The 22,487-nt window shown below is 32.7% G+C and overlaps 1 long non-coding RNA gene across 1 annotated transcript in view; it reads right to left on the bottom strand.

The window, feature by feature from the left end:
- LINC01720 (long intergenic non-protein coding RNA 1720) overlaps positions 1-22,487 on the bottom strand; it is a 176,769-nt gene that overhangs the window by 49,173 nt on the left and 105,109 nt on the right. Inside the window, exon 2 of the long non-coding RNA NR_033922.2 lies at positions 13,976-14,048. This is a non-coding gene — a long non-coding RNA (long intergenic non-protein coding RNA 1720). The remainder of the gene's footprint in view (positions 1-13,975; positions 14,049-22,487) is intronic.

The following is a 22,487-nucleotide window of genomic DNA, read 5'->3' as shown; positions in this document are numbered from 1 at the left end:
CATTCCTAATTTGGGGAAAATACTAAGATTATGGTTGTAAAAAGATGTATATATGTTTTTCTTTATATGAATCTATATATGAATCTCGATTCAGATTTTAAAATAAAACACTTCAATTTTTCCAAAGAATCTGCTGACTATATAAAATGTTGTCTCAGATCTAGACATTACTATTCACAGAGAATGATCCTCCTTACTAAATCCACAGATTGCTCTTCTGTCTAGTGAATATTCACCCTGCTAGCATGCAATATGAACCTTTCTAACTTTGCTTGACTATTGCTCCGCTGAACTACCAAGTCTTAGAATGTCAGTAAAGAGGAGCAATTTGTCCATATCTAGATCACTGAAGACATACTCAAAGGAAAACCAGGTATCGATATGGCAATTTTTTCTTACATTTGCTTCTAAACTCCATGACAGATAAAACTGATTTATCTGTCATGGAGTTTAGAAGCAAATGTAAGAAAAAATTGCCATATTGAAAACCTAGCCAGAATTGTTAGGTGACATTAGAAATTAGATTGAACTGCTGTAAAAACAAGGATTATTAGTCTCTATAGGCTCTGGGGATTCTCAGTGTTCTTATTTTCCAACTGGATGGCACAATTAGCTTCTGGATGAATAATACATAATTATATGTTGCAACCAACCCTGACACTTACTGTCCTATCCCTAGAATTGACACACCATTAGTAACTTTGGGAATTACTAGAAAACAACTTATCTATGGATTTATGTAAGCAGTTTGGCAGCAGCCTTGCATGACAATCCAGCGAAAATAAAATGGGTATATCAAATGTAATGCCCATGCCAAATAGAATGTCCTTTAACTAATGACATTCATAATTTTTTCCAAAGGTGAGTTAATAATTTAGAAGGGCTTAGAGAACTTCCTTTAAATTTTACTAGTGAGGGTTATGTTCAGCTAATTTTATATAAACATGAACTACTGTTTACGTTAGTGGTGGCAAAATTTACAAAGTTAACCTATATTGAATGAATATTAATGAACCCTAAATCAAGGTTTTAGAATGATAAGATCTAGAATACTAGATGGGAATTTTCTTATGAAAGAAATCACTTATTAGGAATAAGAAATGTGTACAACTGACCCGGAGCGGTGGCTCATGCCTGTAATCTCAGCACTTTGGGAGGCCAAGGTGTGCGGATCATGAGGTCAAGAGTTTGAGACCATCCTGGCCAACATGGTGAAACCCCGTCTTTACTAAAAATACAAAAATTAGCTGGGTGCGGTGGTGCGCGCCTGTAGTCCCAGCTACTCGGGAGGCTGAGGCAGGAGAATCGCTTGAACCCAGAAGGAGGAGGTTGCAGTGAGCCGAGATTTCACCACTGCGCTCCAGCCTGGAGACAGAGAGAGACTCCGTCTCAAAAAAAAAAAAAAGAAATGTGTACAACTAAGTTATATCAAATTATCCTATAAACTCATAGAATAAGGCAGTTGCATGTTATTGTTTTGTCAGTTTTTCTAAAACTAATAAAACAAATATCTCAAATTTTCTTATTAATATGAATTATGAGTTTCACTTTTGGAACTCCTTTCCTTCTCCAGTTTTTTCACTAGGCTATCCAATGCACTTGCTATTATATTTATTATATGGCTTAAATTTTTTAAAAATTTGGATATTTGTATTAATTTGTATATAACATCAGTACACTGGGCATATTTTTGGTAGAGAAATAAGTATTGTAGAATGTTACAAACTGTTTACACATTGTACAGTAAATTATTTCTTGAAAAGATCATCAAGATCTAATTTTAATAAATAAGGTGTAGACACTTAGACGATATCAGAATGATTAATGATGGAACATAATCTTTGTATTTTTACTAAAATAAAATGTTAAGCATTAATGGAAAATTTTAAAAAAGAATATAGGGTAAGCAAATGTTAACAACAAAAATTATTAAACATAATATAAATAGATATATGTTATACATGTATGCCACATAAGCTTGTATAATTCAGCTCAGGCTGCCATAGCAAAATAGCCATTGTCATGGTGGCGTAAACAACAGGAATTTATTTCTCACAATTATGATACTGGAAATTCTATACTCAAGATCAGCCAAGGGTTGTCTTCCTGGCTTACAGATGGCTGCTTTTCTGTGTGTTTGCTTCGATAGCAGAGAAAGAGAGAGAGAGAGAGAGAGAGCAACTCCCTAGCGTCTCTTCTTATAAAGGCATTAATCCCGTCATGCAGGCAGAATAACCTCATCTAAATCTAATTACCTTCCCAGGGCTAAATACCATTGTATTGGGGTTGGGACTTCAACATATGAATTTTGGGGAAACACAATTCAGTCCATAGCAATACTAAAATACATTCCAGGATGTTATTTGAAATATAGTATAAGCCTAAATTATTATAATTATTTTCTGGATGAGTTTTTTTAAAACAATTTCTAAAGTTCTCTTTTTAAATAACCTTTACTAAATTTAGAGCTGAGTTTCAGTTATTGTTAGAAAAACTTGACAGTCCTTTATAATTACATAGTTAATAGGATAATCAATGGTGTCATCTTTTATACGTATTTGCGTATTTGCCTTGTTTATAATTGAATTATAATATTACTCACATTTATTTTTTAGAAACCATAACAAAGGTTTTTAATTCTTCTCAATTTTTATTCCTTTTATCATGTATGAAAGAGGATGCAGAATTCTTAGGGCCATAAGATACATTTCTTCGGCTGATGTGGATTTCAACTGAAGGCATTCTATAATCAGCTGTAATGGTCTAAGCAGAACAAATGGAATTTCTGTTGCTGTGGCATACTGAAGTTACCAACAATTAAGAAAAATAACCAAAATACAATTTAACAATCAGCAGCTGAATGGTTGAGGAAAAAAAAAAATAAAAAGAAGAAGAAAAGGTGAAAAGCACTTCTAATAGCACATTGATAGAACTATTTGAGCCATACACAAATCCCAGGAATCACCTGAAGTTGTAATAACTCTCAAAATTGTAGGTTTTAAAACCATGGGTTAGAAACTACAGAATAAAATGGAGCTCAGATAAAATACTGACACGCAGCCTTTGAAGATAACTTCACAATAATCTAATTTTATTTAGTATATAGTTTTACCTTGCTGTATTAGGGAACAGGGAATAAGAGACAGGTTCTCAAATTTTATTAGAGAAAAATTAATAGGTACTCAAATTTATAAATCAAGAAATGTGTACTTATGAATATGAAGATAAACATAAAAATAAGTACCTAAGATGTTAATAGTAGTTATTTCTGTGTTTGCCAATGTAGGATGGGAACTGGGAGACCCAGAAAGGCTTTTAAAAATATAACAGTGAGTTACTAATTTATACTTCAATGTCAAGAGTGAATTACATTAACAATATTAATAATTTTAATATAGGAATTATTTTATGTAGCATTCCTTCCCACAAAATGGCAATACCTGTTAAGTTAAAGTATTTCAAATTGTGCCTTAAAATAGTATTTCAAGCTTCTGCCATTTTGAAGACATCTACACTGTTTGAAATGTTGAATTATTTGATTTTTAAAAACTTTAAAAATTGAATCTGTATATATACATGTAAAATATTTCACAAATAATCTGGGTGGGTTCTTATAATATAAATAACATTAAAATTAAGATTTTTAAGTTATTTTAATATGTTTATATATTTCTTCTAATTATCTTTGTTAAATATAATTATTATAAATGGGTGTACAGGAGCAGTCATAAATAGAAAGGAATTTTTTCACAATTCAACCATGCATGTATTAATCAATTGATTTGTAATTTTGGCTACAGTAGCTAGATATTTTAAAACAAAAACAAACCTTTTGTGTTCCCTGCTCCTAAGAAGTGTGTCATCTTGATCAGAAGACAGAGAAATAAACCAAAAATTACAGTGTAGTGTAAGAAATACTAAGATTGTATAATATATTGGGATCTCAGAGAGGACTGAAGAGGGACATCTAAATCAGTCATGACAGCTTCTGTGTGACAAACTAAATAGTATTACTATGCATATGTTAAATAATTATATCTTCTAATTGCATTTTTTTACAATCTCAATTTTTTTTGCTTTATACACAAGCAATACACTTTCAATAATATTTTGACCTTCAATAATTAAAACTATACATCTAATAAATAATAAAAAATGTTTCAAAAAGTGATTTCAATGATATTTTCAAAAGAGACCATTACTGACATTATGCTCTTAATATTTTTAAAAATATAGTTACTGTTAGCAACTCAAATGTTTGGACTGCAAGGAAACCTATGACTGAAGAATGCTATTAATTAAATTCAGTAACTCAAACCATGTCTTCACAAAGTACTGGCAGGGTCTTCATAAAGAAATAGTTACATTCCTCATAAAACAGAGTTAAGATACTTATAAAGGAAGAGCTGAAGAAAGGATGGTGAAGCATAGAATATAATAGTCCACATTCCAAGTTATGGAGGCTTACACACATCATTCAGAATGCTGTTTAAATCAAATGTAAGTGCTTTAGTAGGGTAGCATTAGAATCTGAACTATGCTCAGATATTCTGTTAAGATATTATAACAGTATTCCAAGCAGAGATTTCAAAATCAGCAAGATTTGGCTCACAAATATGTTTTCTTTGGCCAGCACACTGTTTGAATGTGATTTGTTGTTACTGCAATCCCATGCTACAGTTAGTAATTCTTTGTATTAAACTTCCCCTGTTCAAATTACTGTGTGGTCTCTCTCTAGTGACTAGACTTAGATACATTTTCCATTTATCATGGGACTTGCTCTTGTTTACTTTATATCAGACAAATATTTTCCTACAGTATATTATATCTTTTTTAAAAATGGAAATGCAAAATTTAGATAGACTTGATTTTTTCACTAAAAGTGAGAGGACATCTTTTCCTGTAGACATACAGTTATTCCCATGTGTTTAATGAAAGAAAAAAGTAACTATGAGGGAAAAATGTATCTGCCTGAGACCCCAATATAACCCACACCTGTAGAGAAATATGCTTTTGGCAACACTGGACTGCTGGAGGCAGGGCACTGCTCAGGAATGCTTGCACTCTGATTCTGCTCCCACCTGCCTCAATGCTGATATTATGGTCTTACTGTCACTGATTTAAGGTCAATATGTACAGGATTCATATTTCTGTAAGCACTGTTTTAATGAAAAAAATGAAAACAAATTGTTGGTTTAACTTTCTCCTTAATATGTGTGTAAGCCTCAGGGATTTTTCTCGGTATAAAATGAAGTTTCTTGTATCTGACAAGACCCATGTTCATAATTTATCCCTGAAAGTATTCCCACTGGGTGGCTTGTGGGGCTCAGGAAGTCTCAGGTGAGCAGCACAGTATTCCTTCTTTGCTTGCATTTCTTACCGGATATTATTTTTTGTATTTTTATTAAATAGGAAACTTGATCCAGCAATGTGCACATACATTTTTGCATGTGAGTTTCTTGCCATCACTAGTTAGTTAATATGCAATGCTGCAGTACCATAATAGGGACCACAACAAATTTATGGAAACAAGGAATGGTGGAAAGCATAATAAACTGAAAAAAGGGATACCTTTTAGTGTTTTCTAAAATGTGAATTAATGGACTCATAGCATTGTGAAATACAGGGATATATAAGGTATAAAAATTGTTTAGAGCCAAATTATTTTACTGGTGGTATATTTAAAATATAAATCTATTGAATAAAATATAAATTAAATGTTCTGAGCCAAAGCAAACATTTTCAAAAGTAATCTAGCTGGAAATAATTGGGGTTAGTTGGGTGAAGATACAGCTGAGAACTTAAAGGATGGATGATAATTCTAAAAACCCTAAAACATATGGGTCATCTTCTACTGTAAATGACAAAACAACAAATATGCATAAACATTACCCAATTATCTATAGGCTCAATGAAAATACTCATTAGACAGAAGACATTTCAACAGTGTCCATAAGAAGTGTGTGTGTGTGTATGTGTATGTGTGCATACACACAGGGAAGAGTTTGAGAAGTTTATAACAGTTTAATTAAAATTAGAAAGGATTGCTATAAAATAAGGCTATCATTGCGCTGTTTTATATTAATTTTCTGCCTGTGAACATTTTTTGATAATACAGTGTGGCAACATTTTTCCAAAGATATGGAAATAAAGTCTGTTTATTTTAAATTAAAGCTTTTAAAATAAAAGATGTCTCAGTTGTCAATAATATATACACCTGTTATTGTCAAAAACAGAATTGTATACTTCCCAGTACAGTCAAGACAGGTTTTTTTAAAATTCATTTTTAAGTTCAGAGGTACATGTGCAGGTTTGTTACATAGGTAAACTTGTGTCATGGGGGTTCGTCATACAGATTATTTCATCACCCACGTATCCAGCCTAGTACCTATTATTTTTCCTGATCCTCTCCCTCCTCCCACCCTCCAAACTTCAATAAGCACTAGTGTGCGTTGTTCCTCTTTGTATGTCCATGTGCTTTCATTATTTAACTCCCACTTATAAGCGAGAATATGTGGTATTTGGTTTTCTTTTGTCAAGACAGTTTTAAAACTATTTTTTCCAATAACAAGCATACTATGTAATCAAGGGTGTGATTGTGCCTACTTAATTATTTAAGCACTTTCATATTTTTACACATTCTTTATACTTAACACTTTTTTATCTGGATAATATTCACTGGTTTGTGTTGTAAAAAATTATTTAAACTTAACTCTGTTTAAGATACAAAAGTTATCATCAAGCATTCATTTTTAAACATAAAACAAGAATTAGCATTAATTTATAGATGGTTATGTGTACAACTAAATTTCTAGCAGACTTTTACTTCTAGCCAAGGGTATGAAGTAATAGTTTTTATCACATCCCTGAGAACAACTAAAAAATATGAGAAAATATAAAAATCTATTTGAAGGTCTGTTAGCAACAAAGATATCAGAAAGTCAGGAATTCCTAAGAGGAAAGCCTGGTCATTCCGCTGATAACATTAAATACCTAATTCTATGATGAAGGAAAATGATCAAAAAACAAGCCCTTAGGGAGATTAAAACTGAGTCTTAATATAACTCAAGTGATGATTCAATTGAAGAAGTTTGCCTCTCTTACTGAGACCAGAAGCTGAAAATCCAGAACCTTGAATTAACTCTGTAATTTTCCATATAGAGCATTCAGACTTAATTTAAACCTTGCACATCAGGAGATAAAACCAAACACCAATGAATGAGTAGAAATAACCCCAAATAACACACAGTAGACATAACCCCAAAACAATTCATATATGATTAACATGATGAAGAAAATGGAGAACAAAAAGAGAAAATTGCAGCAAAAACTGGATTCCATAAAAGAGAACTGGGTTTTTGATTCTCACTTCCACTTCCAGTTAAGGGGATACAAAAGTTCTTTGTTCTCACAGTAATAACAACAATAAACAAACAACACACACAAAAAAACACCCATGGAAAATAAAAATACTTTAAAAATATATAACGGTTATGGGCTGAATTGAGTATCCCCGAAATTCATATGCTGAAGTCCTAACCCCCACTACCTCAAAGTGTGTGTCTATGTGGAGACAGGGTCTTTAAAGAAGTAATTAAGTTGAAATGAGGTCACTGGGTTGGTCCTAATTCAATACTGCTGGTGTGCTTAAAGGAAGAGGCGATTAGGGCACAGATACAAACAGAGAAAGACCATGTGAAGACACAGGGAGAAGATGGCCATCTACAAGCCAGAGAGAGAGACTTAAAAGAAAAAAAAAATACATCTCCACCAACACCTTTATCGTGGACATCCAGTCTCCAGAATGGTGAAAAAATAAATTTTTATTGATCAAGCCAGACAGTCTGTGGTACTGTGTTATTGCAGCCCTAGCAAAGTAATACAATAACCTAGGGCATCATACAAAAAAAAGATTTAAAAGAACTGAATTCCACAGAGAACTGAGTCGTTCATAGATGAGTAGGTGTGGCGGGAGTTGTTGCACCTTCCAAAGCTGAGGGCAGATGCCCGATCTGTGTATAAGTAAGTCTGACATAGACAAAGAGACTCTGAAATTGAAAAGAAATCAGTCAGGTCTTGAAAACACGGTGAGTTGTCTAGGCATATTCTAATCTTGAAGAACCAGAAACAAAAGAAAAGATCACTAGATCAAGCAATTGTCTTCCGACATCCCCAATATTGTCAAGAAAGTAGCAGTGGAGGAGGGAGATGGTGGGCAGAGGAGTTACAGTCTTGCTCATGTTCAGGTGATTATGTTCAGTGGGATTGCAGGAGGAAATGAATATAAATGAGTTGGAAGGGGGTTTCTAGAGTAGCGGTGGTATCTCATAAGTTTTATCTGTGATAGATATTTGGGTGTGTATTTCCTTGGGACATTCATTAATCTACATACTAATAATCTGTGCACTTTCCTGTAGGTAGGCCACACATCTAACAAAATACTACTTTTAGCAACTAATATATTACTCTTTCAAAAGAGGTTTACAAAAATATAAATGTGTGTTTGTGTGTATATATATGTTCTTAATTTTGAAAGTGTATTTCTAAATGTGTCCATTTATTCATCTTATCTATTTATTATATCAATCTATCTTGAAAAACACTGATTATTAACACTCTAAAATATTAAAATGTTCTTTCCATATTGTGGAATTATACAATAACCCTCCTTAATACATTTTTAGTAATTTCAGTTGCTTACCTATATTTATTTGAGAATATAACAATTAAAAAATACTTTTCATGATTTTCTATACCTACAAAGTCAGAAGTCTTTAATATGGTCCTCACTTATGGGATATTTTATTCTTTTTATTGACCTCTTTGCATCACTTACCTTTAATTGCTTGGTAACTTCTCTGCTCGGTTTCACAATTACAAAGTTATGTGTGTATTACTCCTCACCTCCTATTCATAGATACTCCTTCACCTATGCTTTTCACTTGCCTAATTATTTTCAACTCATAATGTGTACCTCCTTTCCACTTTTCCCTAATTTTCTACCCCTTCCATATCCCGGAATATGTTAATTATTATATTATCTATACCATAACATCATTTACAAGTATCTTTTTCACTATGAATCTTTTTAGGCAGAAATAATCTCTCTCTCTATATATATATGAAATGTTCATGTGTATGAATATATCCTCTCTATATGCTTAATATAAAGAAAAATACCTTGCAGTATCAGCAAATTCTTAAATTCTTTCGGGAAGAAAGAATATGTTTGAGGGAGGGAAGGAAAGAAGGAAGGAAGGATGGAATGGAGGAAGGGAGGAAGGGAGGAAGGGAGAAAGGGAGGAAGGAAGAAAGATAGGAATGAAAAAAAGAATAAGGCACATATAAGACCTTTACTTTTTAGATGAGTATGTCAATTCCTTTCTTTGATTTCCCTTTAACAAATTATGAGGTATAAAAAGAAACCATTCTAATTATTTATAAAGTGATTTCAACTTAGTCCACAAGAGTATTGCTTGATAAGTTTTGTGTCTAGTTGAGTGTATATAGTTATAAGAATATGTCAGATCTTTTTGCATTTTGAGTCAAAAACCACAAAGAAAGTTTGAAAGCTACTGCTCTAGATAACTCCTTTAAAGGATCAAACAACAAACCAACATTTTGGGAATGTAAGTTACAATCATGTTTAATACTTTCAGTCATGTCTATTATATCTGCATTTACTAATCTTTGCTCATTTTGATTGCTGTTGAATTAGGTCAACACATAAAAATAGATTCATTGTTCATTGTTAAACAATATTATTTCACATATTTATTAAACAGGCTAATAACAAAAATAATCAAACATATATGTATAATAGCTCATGTATAAAAAATAAAGAAAAATAAAAACTTATATTTACACTCTAAAATATATAACTTTTAATAGACCTATAAGTCATATATACATTCAAACATGGTGACTCGTTTGGTCATATTACAAATTGTATTGTTATATTTTCTTTTTCTTTTTTTGTTATATTTTGTTTTTACATTTTTATTCCCTTGAAATTTTAATGAAAATGGATTTATCATGAAGTAAAGTCAGGTTTAGAACAGAAAATACATTGAATCTGTTTGATTATTTAATATAATTTACAGTATCATACCCTTAACACAATATTCTAAACCTTTCTTATGAAGCCCAGGAGTGAGAATATCTTTTATAGATTTATTTACAAAAATAAACTGAGTGGAAAAAAATCATAAAAAGTTTGAATTGTGGAATATTTAGAGCAAAACACTGAATATTATTACAAAACCAATGCATTAATTTAAAGTAAACCAATTAAATTTTTATTTAGTTGGGAACTTTAGAGGATATTTCCAAATTAGTAAGTACAGTTCATAGTTGAATTCTTAATTTGTGCACCTTTTATGAGTTCATCTGAAGATATCAAAAATATTTTTTATTTTTTCATGGAGAATATTAATATTTTCTTAGAGAAACTAGGTTTAAAAAAATGGTGAGTGAACAACAAAAGCTATAAAGAAAATTGTCACCTAGAACCCTTACTCATTTCTAGCAGGATCAAAAGTTGCTAGGAGCCAAGTGAAAGATAAATATTAACTAGGGTTATCAATACGTATGAAGGAACAACAATTAAGACTATAAAGTAACCAAGCAGGCCTGAAACTTTTTGACAACTATATCATAATTATTTCTTCATTAGCAGTGCAATCAGTTCTTCCATGGTAGTTAACAAACAAATATTTCTGGTAAAAAAAATATATCTTTTTTATATATATTATTTGCAAACTAAGTTATCCTTTCCACTGTCATACAAAGGGATTCTGAATTAAGAAGAAAGGCCTTAATGGCAAGATATCTTACTGATAGAAGATATTGATACAAATTTATATTTACATACCTGTATGATAAGTGATGTTTATGTAGGTGCATAGATGAACAATATAAAATAAATACGTATATATAATTTAAATAATCTACAATAAATATGATAGATTAATAATAAAAATATCAAGCCAGGAACGGTGGCTCATGCCTGTAATCCCAGCACTTTGGGAGGCCAAGGTGGATGGATCACCTGAGGTCAGGAGCTCAAGACCAGCCTGGCCAACATGATGAAACCCTGTCTCTACTAAAAATACAAAAATTAGCCAGGTGTGGTGGAGAATGCCTGTAGTCCCAGCTACTTGGGAGGCTGAAGCAGGAGAATCACTTGAACCTGGGAGGCAGATGTTGCAGTGAGCTGAGATTGCGCCACTGTACTGCAGCCTGGGCAACAAGAGCGAAACTTCATCTCTAACAATCATAATAATAAAAATAGTAATAAAATTTTCTAGGACTCTTAGCTAAGTCTTACCAGGAAGCATGCTATTGCTTTATACTATTTAATTCTGTCCTCATCACAACTCTCTGAGACTGGTACTAGTATGTCTATCTTACACGTGAGACAAGGATGTATAGAGAGCATAATTATGTTTTTTAAGATTATGTAGCCGGTGAGATGCACAGATGGGATTATAAACCTGTTGATCCATATCTTATCTGTGGCATATAAATTTACATTAGTATTTCAGTATGGCAGAGGACATTTGGGATATTAACCATAAAGCAAGCATTAATTACATACCTGTGTGCCTAATAGTAACAGTAGTTCCTAATATTTATTTATTTTAAATAATCTGAATTGAACAATGAAAGGAAATAAACACAGTTTACTATGTATATAGTTGCTCTAACCAAGTACAAGCATGAGACTATGCATTTCTATAGAAAAGATTTCAGTAAACATCTTCAAAATTCATGCAATCATGTTCCATATCAAATAGAGAAAATTAATCTATTTGAAAATGGTTAGAGATAGCAAGAACAATAATGCTGTGGTTATTTTGCTCTTATCTATCTCAAGAAAACTATAGCCTTCAAAGAAGAATGCATTAAATCTTTCTTATATTGACCTAATAAAACATCTCTCTAAAACATTATTTGTTTCATTTTTTAAATTTCCATTGTAAACTAATCTTTGCTTTTAAAAACTGTATGCCACGAAAATTAAGCATTTTTTTATTTTTGTGATCCATGTGTTTTAGATCATGCTGTATAAAATAATGCATGCAATAAAATCATTACTTTTGTTTCTAATCTCGCTACAGATTAAGAAAACAAGAATATCTATTTTAAATGGAAAATTCTGTTTTTAAACAAAATTTATAGCCTTCATTTTTTTCCCACTTCAATCTAAACTCTACTTTCCATGTCCAATACTTTTTCAAAAATCAACACAAATGAGGTGACTGTGAACATTTGTTTAAAAAAGACCTCTGTAGCAGCCAAGATATCTCATACACTTAGGTCATTACGTTTAAAAACTGCCTCTTAACTAATCACATTTAAGATGTCACAGAAATATCAGCAAACACTCTTGAAACATTCCCTTAATTGTTTTCTTGCAGTGGTGTGCAAAATGCTGGAAATAATTGAAAAGAAATTGTATCTGTCTGAGCAAAAGAAACAATCTGCATGCACTTTACAGCAATTGAAGGACTATTTATTTCCATCAGAAACAAATAAACGTCTGTGAATATCTTAGATAAAGAATTTAGTCAGTTCATATGGAATAAATGATATTTCATTGCCACCAAAAAAGGGAAGAATTTATGTATAAAACTTCCACTTACATTTTTATCAAAGTATACTAGGTTGCATTTAAGCAACATATATAATCATTTTTTATTTCTTTAATAATCATAAATGCAATCTAACATGTTACTTTTTAATTTTTTAATTGGTAACTTTTAAAAATGTTAAAACTTGTGCTAATATATGCAGTGACATAATATAATTATATATTGCTATTAGAACTAGTATGTCTTTATTCCTTTTTATAAAGCAGTTTGACAATATGGATAAGGAGCATTTTTTCAAAATTGTACCTGCCATATTTTTTTTTTTTTACTAAAGTAGAATGTACAACAAACTACACAAACTATGACTATCCAGCTAGATGAACATTCATAAACAAAAGATACCTATATAACCATCACTGAATGGTAAAAAATAAATAAATGAATAAAACTGTCCAGTTGCTATTTCACCCTTAGAAACCCCTACCCTTACTACTTTTAGCAGCATGAACACCACCAGATTATTTTACAAAGGTGATGAAATATTTATATTCCTACCAATAATGTATAAGTCCCACCCTCCATATTCTTACCAACACATATAATCAGATTTTCTTATTTGAAAATTTGGCCATCCCATTAGTTGTAGGTAATTGAAATTTTAATTTGCATTATTTAATTGAGAACTAATAATGCTGAACATCCATTGATATGTTTTTGAACTATTATGAGTTCTTTATAAAGTCTAGAGAGATAAATCATATATAACCAAATTTATAAATTCATTCAATAAATTTTTCATCTAAAATTATATAAAATATTAAAATTATATTATTCATGTGTTTGTAATTATATAAAATCAATAACTATATTATATATTTTTTAAATTTCTTTGCTGCTTTGCATGGTATGTTTTTTATAATCAGTTAAACTATACAAATGTAGATCTCTTTCTGTGGCTTATTATGGTTCTTTAGTATTTTTTAGTGATTTACTTTATGAAGGGGATATTTTAATGCAGTAAAATACTCCCACTTCATGTAGTTTTTTTGATTACTTTTTGCAAATACATGACATGTTACCACAACCACAACCAAAATACAAAATTTTTCCATCATCCCTAGAAGGTTCTTTTCTACTTTTCCATTGGAAAGCTTCTTGAAAGCTTCAAGAACTTGAAATGTTCTTTTCAACCCATCTATTTCCCTGAACCCGCTAATCTGCTTTCCATCAAGATTCCATTTTAAAGCAATACCACTGCAAATGTACTGTGAAGGAGAGAGACCAGTAACATAAGAAGAAAGCCAGCCAAATGAGGCAAGAGATTCAAGAAGGAAGAGGGCTGATAATTTACCTAAGATGAGAACTGAGTCAGAACTGACCTTTGGCTATATCTATGTGGAATTCATTGCTTAATTTGATGAGTAGTTTCTGCGGCATTGTCGAGGAGAAGGCCTGAAAGAAATAATTTTAAGTGAAAATGAGAGGAAGAAGAATGAGGCATAGTGAGTATAATGATGTAACTTTTTGTAGGATATTTTGACTAAGGGAAGCAAAAAAGTTAAAAAAAAATAAATAAAAAGGAGGCAACAACTTATTCCAGAATTCATGTCCTACTCCTCTTCTCACTTTTCACCCATCACACTGGTCTTCTGCTGTTTCTGTCATGCCAATCATTCTCTCCAATATTGGTTTTTGCCTGTGTCTTCTCTGTGCTTGGAGTGTTTTCTTCTATATATCCTTTTTCTTAACTTTCTTCAACTTTGCTTATATATCACCATCTCACTTTGGCTTTCTGTGTCCATTGTTTTAAAAATTCATCTATTTCTCTCCCCCAGCCCTAATTCTTCTAATCCCACTCAATTTGCTTCATTTTTTTTATTTTCTGAGCATTTACTCTCTTCTAATATACTACAAAATTAATTCATGTATGATGTTTATTCTTTATTGTCTGTCTTCTCCACTAGAAGGTCGCAGGAATCTTGGTTTTGTTCACTGATGTATTACAAGCAACTAGAAGAGCGTCTGATACAGGAGGTACTCAAAATACATTTGCAGATTGAATAAAAGGAATCAAGGTGAAAAATAATGGTTTTGAAGAGACAAAGAAAATATAGTATTTAATTACAGAATGATAAAAATGTCATTTGTTTGGGGATTCATAGAAGAGTGGATAGGTAAATCTGTGGGGAAGCTATATTATAATTTCTCTTCTTGAAGACTTGCAGAATGAAGGGTATCGCAAAAGAGTAATGCAGAGGTGAGAGGTTCAATTCATGAAGTAATGTTTTTCTATTTGGAATATATTTTTTCAGTCGATAAGCAAATTTTAATTTGAGGAAAAATGAAGAAAGAAAAACAAAACAATGAATTTTAAGAGGAAGACGAGGTAAAGATTAACAAGATTTGGGCAGTGATTCACGTAGAGGCATTTATTCTGCAATAGCACAAAATACATTCATGGGATTAAAAAGTATGGTTCAGATAATAGAAAAATAATAAGTGTCAGCAAAAATGCTAGAGCAGAATACTATATTCCAAAAATAAAAACTTCTGTTAGAACAAAGAACAAAGGAAGATTCAGAGTGAAGAGCAACACATCAACAAAGGAACAGATAACTGCACATTAACATCATGTTCAGAAACAGACATTTAAGCTGCATATGCAAATGGCATATTTTCACATGCCAGTGGATATTTAGATTTGCAATTATCCGTTTTCATGTATAAGTATCTCTTTGAGTATGCAAATAAGTGATTTGAATGCATAATGTGGGCACTCATTGTGAATATTGGACCCGTTAGAAGATTGCTAGTGGTAGCAGAAGCATCTTATTTTCCGAGAACTGCAAACATCAAAAATTCAGTTTCGTTTTCATGAGAGAAAATGTTCATAAGAGAAAAAAAATCTGAAAATTTTTAAAGTCAAGGATATTTCCTCTTGTGGTAAAATTTATTTTGAGGGGAAAAAATGATCTGTTTTGGATAGACCATCATAAATTGTGACAATTATAAACTAAAATGGGTCAAATAAGTCAAAGAAAAATATGAAATTGGTAGAAAGCAAGTGATAGTTTTCACAAATTTGTAAAAAATTATGTATATTATTTCTGCTCCATCTGATGTTTGACATTTTTTGCTTAGTTTTATTACCTGGGAAATTAACAATAAAATATTTAAAAGGAGGTCAATATTTATCTGTAAAAATTATGTTTAGGTTATTTTTAAGCATTGTTATCTAATAAATACTTGTAATACCTAATATGTACAAAAAGTTTTGATACACAGTGAGTTTAAAACTAAGCTGTTTCTGCCACCAAATTGTTTCCCATCTGAATTATGTTGTATAACATTATGTAACTGACGACCACTAAAATGGAAGCATAATGAGGTTGTTCAAATAAGGAAGACGTTTCATGTTATTAAGGAGATTAGTAAGAATTACTATTTAAAATGAATCTCAGAGATGCAGGTGTTCTTTAGATAATATTTCTTTTAATAGGTTTTAAAATAAATTTCATAAGTAGATGTTTGCACACCATGAAAGGAAACATTTTATGAGAAAATCTATAGGTGATTAACAAGGTGGTATCAAGCCAATAGAAATCAAATATGTAAGAAAATTAGCATATCATTAAATAAGTATACAAAATGCCCAAATTGAAAATGCAAAGGGGCAAATTAACTAATTTTATCATCATGCTTTAAATTTTCGGCCTGCAGCACTTTTCCAATGATGTAAAATTATCAGAAGTATGTCCAAATCTACTTAGAGATAAAGTCCATTTTTAAACTCTCATGATTATAGTTTCTTTGCTTTATATGATTTTTAAGCTATAAAATTCCCAAATAAATATTTTGCTCAATTTCATTACAGCAAAGATCATTAATTCATATGGAGTAAATTACCAAATATTCATTTTTAGCTTATTTATTTCCCTTTAGAAATTTTTATAATAATATAGAATACATTTTATGGAATATTCTTTAAACTTAAAATACATTTTGAATATTTTGAAATAGATATTGTATAAATTAATTTAATTTAATTCAACTAACATTAAAAGGCACCTGTTTGCTTAGTTCTGAGCCAAACAACTTAGGAAAAAAAATGTAAGATTAAGTCATGAAATCTTGACCCTTAAAATATAATATTAAAGAAGTATATTTATTTTGGATAAAAATATGAGGTTAAGATAAATAGAGTTTAAAAAATTTCTGTAGAGGTACTGATTATTTATTTGTTTTACTTTTATAAAAATAATCTGTCTATTTACATTTAAAACAAATATATTTGTGCTAGTTTAATAGTGTTTATCTCAAAGAAAAAAATAGTTTATGTATTTGAGATCAATTTATGTCATATTATGAATGATTCACTAATCATTGAAAATGAGACAGAAAACAAATCCATTAACAAAAAAGTGATATTAATAGACTGCATCTTAAAGTTTACCTAGGATTTTCAAAAATTAATTATTCAAATAATTACAGAGACATATTTATTATATAATAATTATATACCCAAACTAAATTCTTGTAAATAAATAATCATATGAAGCAGCTGAATTATAAAATGATTAGGGAGAAAATATGATATAAAGAAATTCTTTCTGGCTACTGACCTATAAAGCACTGTCATGATAATACAAAATTTCAAATAGAATTTTTCTATATCTTAAATACTTAAAAATGAATATATTATGAAAAAAGATCAGTATCACTAATCATCAGGGAAATGCAAATCAAAACCTCACTGAGATATAATCTCATCATAGATAGAATGGCTGTTATCTAAAAGACAATAAATAAATGCTGCTAAGAATGAAGAGGAAGAGGAACTTATGTACTGTTGGTGTGTAAATAAGTACTGCTATTATGGAAAACAGTGTGGAGATTAGTAAAAAAATTAAATTAGTTTCTTCCTAGTCTCGGTGGTCTCTACATTTTGGCATGATTTTGCAGCGGCTGGTACCAGTTGTTCCTTTCCATGTTTAGCACTTCCTTCAGGAGCTCTTTTAGGGCAGGCCTGGTGGTGACAAAATCTCTCAGCATTTGCTTGTCTGTAAAGTATTTTATTTCTCCTTCACTTATGAAGCTTAGTTTGGCTGGATATGAAATTCTGGGTTGAAAATTCTTTTCTTTAAGAATGTTGAATATTGGCCCCCACTCTCTTCTGGCTTGTAGGGTTTCTGCTGAGAGATCCGCTGTTAGTCTGATGGGCTTCCCTTTGAGGGTGACCCGACCTTTCTCTCTGGCTGCCCTTAACATTTTTTCCTTCATTTCAACTTTGGTGAATCTGACAATTATGTGTCTTGGAGTTGCTCTTCTCGAGGAGTATCTCTGTGGCGTTCTCTGTATTTCCTGAATCTGAACGTTGGCCTGCCTTGCTAGATTGGGGAAGTTCTCCTGGATAATATCCTGCAGAGTGTTTTCCAACTTGGTTCCATTCTCCGCATCACTTTCAGGTACACCAATCAGACGTAGATTTGGTCTTTTCACAGAAACTGCCACAACTAATGAGCAAAATCACCAGCTAACATCATAATGACAGGATCAAATTCACACATAACAATATTAACTTTAAATGTAAATGGACTAAATTCTCCAATTAAAAGACACAGACTGGCAAGTTGGATAAAGAGTCAAGACCCATCAGTGTGCTGTATTCAGGAAACCCATCTCACGTGCAGAGACACACATAGGCTCAAAATAAAAGGATGGAGGAAGATCTACCAAGCAAATGGAAAACAAAAAAAGGCAGGGGTTGAAATCCTAGTCTCTGATAAAACAGACTTTAAACCAACAAAGATCAAAAGAGACAAAGAAGGCCATTACATAATGGTAAAGGGATCAATTCAACCAGAGGAGCTAACTATCCTAAATATATATGCACCCAATACAGGAGCACCCAGATTCATAAAGCAAGTCCTGAGTGACCTACAAAGAGACTTAGACTCCCACACATTAATAATGGGAGAATTTAACACCCCACTGTCAACATTAGACAGATCAACGAGACAGAAAGTCAACAAGGATACCCAGGAATTGAACTCAGCTCTGCACCAAGCGGACCTAATAGACATCTACAGAACTCTCCACCCCAAATCAACAGAATATACATTTTTTTCAGCACCACACCACACCTATTCCAAAATTGACCACATAGTTGGAAGTAAAGCTCTCCTCAGCAAAAGTAAAAGAACAGAAATTATAACAAACTATCTCTCAGACCACAGTGCAATCAAACTAGAACTCAGGATTAAGAATCTCACTCAAAGCCGCTCAACTACATGGAAACTGAACAACCTGCTCCTGAATGACTACTGGGTACATAACGAAATGAAGGCAGAAATAAAGATGTTCTTTGAAACCAACGAGAACAAAGACACAACATACCAGAATCTCTGGGACGCATTCAAAGCAGTGTGTAGACGGAAATTTATAGCACTAAATGCCCACAAGAGAAAGCAGGAAAGATCCAAAATTGACACCCTAGAACTAGAAAAGCCAGAGCAAACACATTCAAAAGCTAGCAGAAGGCAAGAAATAACTAAAATCAGAGCAGAACTGAAGGAAATAGAGACACAAAAAACCCTTCAAAAAATCAATGAATCCAGGAGCTGGTTTTTTGAAAGGATCAACAAAATTGATAGACCACTAGCAAGACTAATAAAGAAAAAAAGAGAGAAGAATCAAATAGACACAATAAAAAATGATAAAGGGGATATCACCACTGATCCCACAGACATACAAACTACCATCAGAGAATACTACAAACACCTCTACGCAAATAAACTAGAAAATCTAGAAGAAATGGATAAATTCCTCGACACATACACTCTCCCAAGACTAAACCAGGAATCTGAGTTTAGTTGAATCTCTGAATAGACCAATAACAGGAGCTGAAATTGTGGCAATAATCAATAGTTTACCAACCAAAAAGAGTCCAGGACCAGATGGATTCACAGCCGAATTCTACCAGAGGTACAAGGAGGAACTGGTACCATTCCTTCTGAAACTATTCCAATCAATAGAAAAAGAGGGAATCCTCCCTAACTCATTTTATGAGGCCAGCATCATTCTGATACCAAAGCTGGGCAGAGACACAACCAAAAAAGAGAATTTTAGACGAATATCCTTGATGAACATTGATGCAAAAATCCTCAATAAAATACTGGCAAACCGAATCCAGCAGCACATCAAAAAGCTTATCCACCATGATCAAGTGGGCTTCATCCCTGGGATGCAAGGCTGGTTCAATATACGCAAATCAATAAATGTAATCCAGCATATAAACAGAGCCAAAGACAAAAACCACATGATTATCTCAATAGATGCAGAAAAAGCCTTTGACAAAATTCAACAACCTTCATGCTAAAAACTCTCAATAAATTAGGTATTGATGGGACGTATTTCAAAATAATAAGAGCTATCTATGACAAACCCACAGCCAATATCATACTGAATGGGCAAAAACTGGAAGCATTCCCTTTGAAAACTGGCACAAGACAGGGATGCCCTCTCTCACCGCTCCTATTCAACATAGTGTTGGAAGTTCTGGCCAGGGCAATCAGGCAGGAGAAGGAAAGAAATGGTATTCAATTAGGAAAAGAGGAAGTCAAATTGTCCCTGTTTGCAGACGACATGATTGTTTATCTAGAAAACCCCATCGTCTCAGCCCAAAATCTCCTTAAGCTGATAAGCAATTTCAGCAAAGTCTCAGGATACAAAATCAATGTACGAAAATCACAAGCATTCTTATACACCAACAACAGACAAACAGAGAGCCAAATCATGAGTGAACTCCCATTCACAATTGCTTCAAAGAGAATAAAATACCTAGGAATCCAACTTACAAGGGATGTGAAGGACCTCTTCAAGGAGAACTACAAACCACTGCTCAAGGAAATTAAAGAAGATACAAACAAATGGAAGAACATTCCATGCTCATGGGTAGGAAGAATCAATATCGTGAAAATGGCCATACTGCCCAAGGTAATTTACAGATTCAATGCCATCCCCATCAAGCTACCAATGACTTTCTTCACAGAATTGGAAAAAACTACTTTAAAGTTCATATGGAACCAAAAAAGAGCCCGCATCGCCAAGTCAATCCTAAGCCAAAAGAACAAAGCTGGAGGCATCACACTACCTGACTTCAAACTATACTACAAGGCTACAGTAACCAAAACAGCATGGTACTGGTACCAAAACAGAGATATAGATCAATGGAACAGAACAGAGCCCTCAGAAATAACGCTGCATACCTACAACTATCTGATCCTTGACAAACCTGAGGAAAACAAGCAATGGGGAAAGGATTCCCTATTTAATAAATGGTGCTGGGAAAACTGCCTAGCCATATGTAGAAAGCTGAAACTGGATCCCTTCCTTACACCTTATACAAAAATCAATTCAAGATGGATTAAAGATTTAAACGTTAGACCTAAAACCATAAAAACCCTAGAAGAAAACCTAGGCATTACCATTCAGGACATAGGCGTGGGCAAGGACTTCATGTCCAAAACACCAAAAGCAATGGCAACAAAAGCCAAAATTGACAAATGGGATCTAATTAAACTAAAGAGCTTCTGCACAGCAAAAGAAACTACCATCAGAGTGAACACGCAGCCTACAACATGGGAGAAAATTTTCGCAACCTACTCATCTGACAAAGGGCTAATATCCAGAATCTACAATGAACTCAAACAAATTTACAAGAAAAAAACAAACAACCCCATCAAAAAGTGGGCGAAGGACGTGAACAGACACTTCTCAAAAGAAGACATTTATGCAGCCAAAAAATACATGAAAAAATGCTCATCATCACTGGCCATCAGAGAAATGCAAATCAAAACCACTATGAGATATCATCTCACACCAGTTAGAATGGCAATCATTAAAAAGTCAGGAAACAACAGGGGCTGGAGAGGATGTGGAGAAATAGGAACACTTTTACACTGTTGGTGGGACTGTAAACTAGTTCAACCATTGTGGAAGTCAGTGTGGCGATTCCTCAGGGATCTAGAACTAGAAATACCATTTGACCCAGCCATCCCATTACTGGGTATATACCCAAAGGACTATAAATCATGCTGCTATAAAGACACATGCACACGTATGTTTATTGCAGCATTATTCACAATAGCAAAGACTTGGAACCAACCCAAATGTCCAACAATGATAGACTGGATTAAGAAAATGTGGCACATATACACCATGGCATACTATGCAGCCATAAAAAATGATGAGTTCATGTCCTTTGTAGGGACATGGATGAAATTGGAAACCATCATTCTCAGTAAACTATCGCAAGAACAAAAAACCAAACACCGCATATTCTCACTCATAGGTGGGAATTGAACAATGAGATCACATGGACACAGGAAGGGGAATATCACACTCTGGGGACTGTGGTGGGGTGGGGGGAGGGGGGAGGGATAGCATTGGGAGATATACCTAATGCTAGATGACGAGTTAGTGGGTGCAGCACACCAGCATGGCACATGTATACATATGTAACTAACCTGCACAATGTGCACATGTACCCTAAAACTTAAAGTATAATAAAAAACAAACAAACAAACAAAAAAATTAAATTAGAACTACCATATGATCCCACAATTCTACTATTGGGTATTTATCCAAAGGAAAGAAAATAAGTATATCAAAGAGATAGCCGCACCCTCCTGTTTATTGCAGCACCATTCAGTATAGTGAATATATGGGATCAACCTAAATGTCCATCAACAGATTAATGAATAAAGAAATGTATACAATAGAGTTCTATTCTGCCATGAAAAAGTATAAAATCATGCCATTCACAGTGACAGGTATAAAACTGGAGAACATCATGTTAAGTCAAATAAGGCAGCCACTTAAAGACAAATA

This window comes from Homo sapiens, chromosome 1 (genome assembly GCF_000001405.40).
Source record: "Homo sapiens chromosome 1, GRCh38.p14 Primary Assembly".
Taxonomy (NCBI): Eukaryota; Metazoa; Chordata; class Mammalia; order Primates; family Hominidae; genus Homo; species Homo sapiens.
The sequence above is the reverse complement of the archived record's forward strand: the minus strand, read 5'-3'. Positions and strand labels throughout refer to the sequence as shown.